The sequence below is a fragment of the Homo sapiens genome, chromosome 1 (genome assembly GCF_000001405.40).
Source record: "Homo sapiens chromosome 1, GRCh38.p14 Primary Assembly".
Lineage (NCBI taxonomy): Eukaryota > Metazoa > Chordata > Mammalia > Primates > Hominidae > Homo > Homo sapiens.
The window spans coordinates 169,656,301-169,662,314 of record NC_000001.11 but is presented as its reverse complement, the minus strand read 5'-3'; the positions used below and the strand labels follow the sequence as shown (position 1 = coordinate 169,662,314).

Here is a 6,014-nt window from a genome sequence, read left to right as displayed (position 1 = left end):
GAGTTTATTCCTTCTGATGTTTGGATGTGTTCGGCCTTCTGGTGGGTTCATGGTCTCGCTGGCTCAGGAGTGAAGCTGCAGACCTTCTCGGTGAGTGTTACAGCTCTTAAGGTGGCACATCTGGAGTTGTTCTTTCCTCCCAGTGGGTTCGTGGTCTTGCTGGCTTCAAGAGTGAAGCTGCAGACCTTCACGGTGAGTGTTACAGCTCATAAAGGCAGTGTGGACCCAAAGAGTGAGCAGCAGCAAGATTTACTGCAAAGAGCGAAAGAACAAAGCTTCCACAGTGTGGAAGGGGACCCGAGCGGGTTGCCACTGCTGGCTCATGCAGCCTGCTTTTATTCTCTTATCTGGCCCCACCCACATCCTGCTGATTGGTAGAGTCAAGTGGTCTGTTTTGACAGGGTGCTGATTGGTGCATTTATAATCCCTGAGGTGGACACAAAAGTTCTCCAAGTCCCCACCAGATTAGCTAGATACAGAGTGTTGACACAAAGGTTCTTCAAGTCACCACCAGAGTAGCTAGATACAGAGTGTCGATTGGTGCATTCACAAACCCTGAGCTAGACACAAGGTGCTGATTGGTGTGTTTACAAACCTTGAGCTAGATACAGAGTGCCGATTGGTGTATTTACAATCCCTTAGCTAGACATAAAGGTTCTCCACATCCCCACCAGACTCAGGAGCCCAGCTGGCTTCACCCAGTGGATCCCACACCAGGGCTGCAGGTGGAGCTGCCTGCCAGTACCATGCTGTGCACCCACACTCCTCAGCCCTTGGGTGGTTGATGGGACTGGGCGCTGTGGAGCAGGGGGCGGTGCTCACTGGGGAGGCTCGGGCTGCACAGGAGCCCAGGGAGTTGGGGGAGGCTCAGGCATGGTGGGCTGCAGGTCCCAAGCCCTGCCCCGTGGGAAGGCAGCTAAGGCCTGGCGAGAAATTGAGCACAGCAGCTGCTGGCCCAGGTGCTAAGCCCCTCACTGCCCAGGGCTGGTGGGGCCGGCTGGCCGCTCCAAGTGTGGGGTCCACCAAGCCCACGCCTACCCGGAACTCGCGCAGGCCCACAAGCACCACGCACAGCCCCGGTTCCTGCCTATGCCTCTCCCTCCACACCTCTCCGCAAGCTGAGGGAGCCGGCTCCAGCCTTGGCCAGCCCAGAAAGGGGCTCCCACAGTGCAGCGGCAGGCTGAAGGTTTCCTCAAGTGCCGCCAAAGTGGGAGCCCAGGTAGAGGAGGCGCCAAGAGTGAGCGAGGGCTGTGAGCACTGCCAGCACGCTGTCACCTCTCAGTACCAGTACCATGCTGTTTTGGTTACTGTATCCTTGTAGTATAGTTTGAAGTCAGGCAGTGTGATGCCTCCAGCTTTGTTCTTTTTGCTTAGGATTGTCTTGGCTATGTGGGCTCTTTTTTGTTACCAGAATGAAATTTAAAGTAGTTTTTTCTAATTCTGTGAAGAAAGTCAGTGGTAGTTTGATGGGGATAGCATTGAATCTATAAATTACTTTGGGAAGTATGGCCATTTTCATGATATTTGTTCTTCCTATCCATGAGCATGGAATGTTTTCCCATTCGTTTGTGTCCACTTTTATTTCTTTGGGCAGTGGTTTGTAGTTCTCCTTGAAGAGGTCCTTCACATCTCTTGTAAGTTGTATTCCTAGGGATTTTGTTCTCTTTGTAGCAATTATGAATAGGAGTTCACTCATGATTCGGCTCCCTGTTTGTCTATTATTGGTGTATAGCAATGCTTGTAATTTTTGCACATTGATTTTGTAACCTGAGATTTTGCTGAATTTGTTTATCAGCTTAAGGAGATTTTGGGCTGAGACAATGGTTTCTAAATACACAATTATGTCATCTGCAAACAGAAACAATTTGACTTCTTCTCTTCCTATTTGAATACCCTTTATTTCATTCTCTTGCCTGACTGGCCTGGCTAGAACTTCTAATACTATGTTAAATAGAAGTGGTGAGAGAGGGTATCCTTGTCTTGTGTCGGTTTTCAAAGGGAATGCTTACAGCTTTTGCCCATTCAGTATGCTATTGGCTGTGGGTTTGTCACAAATAGCTCTTATTATTTTGAGATACATTCCATCAATACCTAGTTTATTGAGAGTTTTTAGAATGAAGGGGTGTTTAATTTTATTGAAGGCTTTTTCTGCCTCTATTGAGATAATCATGTTGTTTTTGTCATTGGTTCTGTTTATGTGCTGGATTACATTTATTGATTTGTGTATGTTGAACCAGCCTCACATCTCAGGGATGAAGTTGACTTGATTGTGGTGGGTAGCTTTTTGATATGCTGCTGGATTCGGTTTGCCAGTATTTTATTGAGGATTTTCGCATTGATGTTCATCAGGGATATTGGCCAGAAATTTTCTTTTTTTGTTGTGTCTCTGTCAGTTTTTTGTATCAGGATGATGCTGGCCTCATAAAATGAGTGAGGGAGGAGTCCCTCTTTTTCTATTCTTTGGAATAGTTTCAGAAGGAATTGTACCAGCTCCTCTGTACCTCTGGTAAAATTTGGCTGTGAATCCATCTGATCCTGGGCTTTTCTTTGTTGGTAGGATATTAATTACTGCCTCAATTTTAGAACTTGTTGTTGGTCTATTCAGGGATTCAACTTCTTCCTGGTTTACTCTTGGGAGAGTGTATGTGTCCAAGAATTTATCAATTTCTTCTAGATTTTCTAGTTTATTTGCACTAGGTGTTTATAGTATTTTCTGATGGTAGTTTGTATTTCTGTGAGATCAGTGATATCACCTTTATCATTTTTTATTGTGTCTATTTGATTCTTCTCTCTTTTCTTCTTTATTAGTCTGTCTAGTGGTCTATGTATTTTGTTAATCTTTTCGAAAAATCAGCTCCTGGGTTCATTGATTTTTTTTGAAGGGTTTTCAGTCTCTGTCTCCTTCAGTTTTGCTCTAATCTTAGTTTTTTCTTGTCTTCTGCTAGCTTTTGAATTTGTTTGCTCTTGCTTCTCTATTTCTTTTAATTATGATGTTAAAGTGTTGATTTTAGATCTTTCCCACTTTCTACTGTGGGCATTTAGTACTATAAATTTCCTTCTAAACACTGCTTCATTTGTGTCCCAGAGATTCTGGAACATTGTGTCTTTGTTCTCATTGGTTTCAAAGAACTTATTTATTTCTGCCTTAATTTTGTTATTTACCCAGTAGTCATTCAGGAGCAGGTTGTTCAGTTTCCATGTAGTTGTGCAGTTTTGAGTGAGTTTCTTAATCCTGCATTCTAATTTAATTGCACTGTGGTCTGAGAGACTGTTTATTATGATTTCAATTGTTTTGCATTAGTTGAGGAGTGTTTTACTTCCTGTTATGTGGTCAATTTTAGAATAAGTGTGATGTGGTGCTGAGAAGAAAGCACAGTCTGTTGATTTGGGGTGGAGAGTTCTGTAGATGTCTATTAGGTCAGCTTGGTCCAGAGCTGAGTTCAAGTCCTGAATATCCTTGTTAATTTTCTGTCTTGTTGATCTGCCTAATATTGACAGTGGGGTGTTAAAGTCTCACACTATTATTGTGTGGGAGTCTAAGTCTCTTTGTAGGTCTCTAAGTACTTGCCTTATGAATCTGGGTGCTCCTGTTTTGGGTGCATATATTTTTAGGATAATTAGCTCTTGTTGCATTGATCCCCTTACGTTCATTTAATGCCCTTTTTGTCTTTTGTGATCTTTGTTGGTTTAAAGTCCGTTTTATCAGGGACTAGGATTCCAACCCCTGCTTTTTTTTGCTTTCCATTTGCTTAGTAAATATTCCTTCATCCCTTTATTTTGAGCCTGCGTGTGTCTTTGCATATGAGATGGGTCTCCTGAATACAGCACACTGATGGGTCTTGACTCTTTATCCAATTTGCCAGTCTGTGTCTTTTAATTGGGGCATTTATCCCATTTACATTTAAGGTTAATATTATGTGCGAATTTAATCCTGTCATTATGATGGTAGCTGGTTATTTTGCCCGTTAGTTGATGCAGTTTCTTCATAGTGTCGACGGTCTTTACAATTTAGTGTGTTTTTGCAGTGGCTGGTGTGGGTTTTTCTTTTCCATGTTTAGTGCTTCCTTCAGGAGCTCTTGTAAGGAAAGCCTGGTGGTGACAAAATCTCTCAGCATTTGCTTATCTATAAAGGATTTTATTTCTCCTTTGCTTATGAAGCTTAGTTTGGCTGGATATGAAATTCTGGGTTGAAAATTCTTTTCTTTAAGAATGTTGAATATTGGCACCCACTCTCTTCTGGCTTGTAGGGTTTCTGCAGAGAGATCTGCTGTTAGTCTGATGAGCTTCCCTTTGTGGGTAACCCAACCTTTCTCTCTGGCTGCCCTTAACATTTTTTCCTTCTTTTCAACCTTGGTGAATCTGACAATTACGTGTATTGGGGTTGCTCTTCTTGAGGAGTATCTTTGTAGTGTCCTCTGTATTTCCTGAATTTTAATGTTGGCTTCTCTTGCAAGGTTGGGGAAGTTCTCCTGGTAATATTCTGAAGAGTGTTTTTCAACTTGGTTCCATTCTCCCTGTCAGTTTCAGTTACACTAATCAAACGTAGGTTTGGTCTTTTCACATAGTACCATGGAGGCTTTGTTTGTTCCTTTACATTCTTTTTTTCTCTAATCTTGTCTTCACACTTTATTTTATTAAGTTGATCTTCAATCTCTGATATTCTTTCTTCCACTTGACCAGTTCGGCTATTGATACTTGTGTATGCTTCACAAAATTCTTGTGCTGTGTTTTTCAGCTGCATCAGCTCACTTACATTCTTCTCTAAACTGGTTATTCTAGTTAGCAATTCCTCTAACCTTTTTTTCAAGGTTCTTAGCTTTGTTGCATTGGGTTAGAACATGCTCCTTTAGCTCAGAGGAGTTTGTTATTATGCACCTTCTGAAACCTACTTCTGTCAATTTGTCAAAATCATTCTCTGTCCAGTTTTGTTCCCTTACAGGTGAGGAGTTGTGATCATTTGGAGGAGAAGAGGCGTTCTGGTTTTTGTAATTACCAGCCTTTTTGTGCTGGTTTTTCCTCATCTTCATGGATTTATCTACATTTTGTCTTTGATGTTGGTAACCTTCGGATGGGGTTTTGTGTGGACGTCTTTTTTGTTGATATTGATGCTATTCATTTCTGTTTGTTAGTTTTCCTTCTAACAGGTCCCTATGCTGCAGGTCTGCTGAGTTTCCTGGAGGTCCACTCCAGACCCTGCTTGCCTGGGCATCATGAGCGAAGGCTTCAGAACAGCAAAGATTACTGCCTGTTCCTCCTCTGGAAGCTTCATCCCAGAGGGGCACCTGCCACATGCCAGCTGGAGCACTCCTGTATGAGGTGTCTGTTGACCCTGCTGGGAGGTGTCTCCCAGTAAGGAGGCACGGGGGACAGGGACCCACTTGAGGAGGCAGTCTGTCCCTTAGCAGTGCTTGAGCACTGTGCTGGGAGGTCCGCTGCTCTCTTCAGAGCTGGCAGGCAGAACATTTAAGTCTGCTGAAGCTACACCCACAGCCATCCCTTCTCCCAGGTGCTCTGTCCCAGGGAGTTGAGAGTTTTATCTATAGGCCCCCGACTGAGGCTGCTGCCTTTCTTTCAGAGATGCCCTGCCCAGAGAGGAGGAATCTAGAGGTCAGTCTGGCTACAGCAGCTTTGTCGTGCTGCGGTGGGCTCTGCCCAGTTCGAACTTCCCGGCAACTTTGTTTACACTGTGAGGGGAAAACCACCTACTCAAGCCTCAGTAATTGTGGACACCCCTCCCCCCACCAAGCTCGAGCATCCCAGGCCAACTTCAGACTGCTGTGCTGGCAGTGAGAATTTCAAGCCAGTGGATCTTAGTTTGCTGGGCTCCATGGGGGTGGGATCCACTGAGCTAGACCACTTGGCTCCCTGGCTTCAGCCCCCTTTCCAGGGGAGTGAACACCTCTGTCTCACTGGTGTTTCAGGCGCCACTGGGATATGAAAAAAAAAACTCCTGTAGCTAGCTCGGTGTCTGTCCAAACAGCCGCCCAGTTTTGTGCTTGAAACTCAGGGCCCTG

General features: G+C 44.2%; 1 annotated feature.

Moving 5' to 3' along the window:
• Positions 3,237–3,326: an enhancer, noted in NCBI's record as "active region_2076". NCBI's record gives its function as "activates an Ori minimal core promoter by ATAC-STARR-seq in GM12878 lymphoblastoid cells {active_cell/tissue: GM12878}" and the evidence as "EXISTENCE:reporter gene assay evidence [ECO:0000049][PMID:35858748]".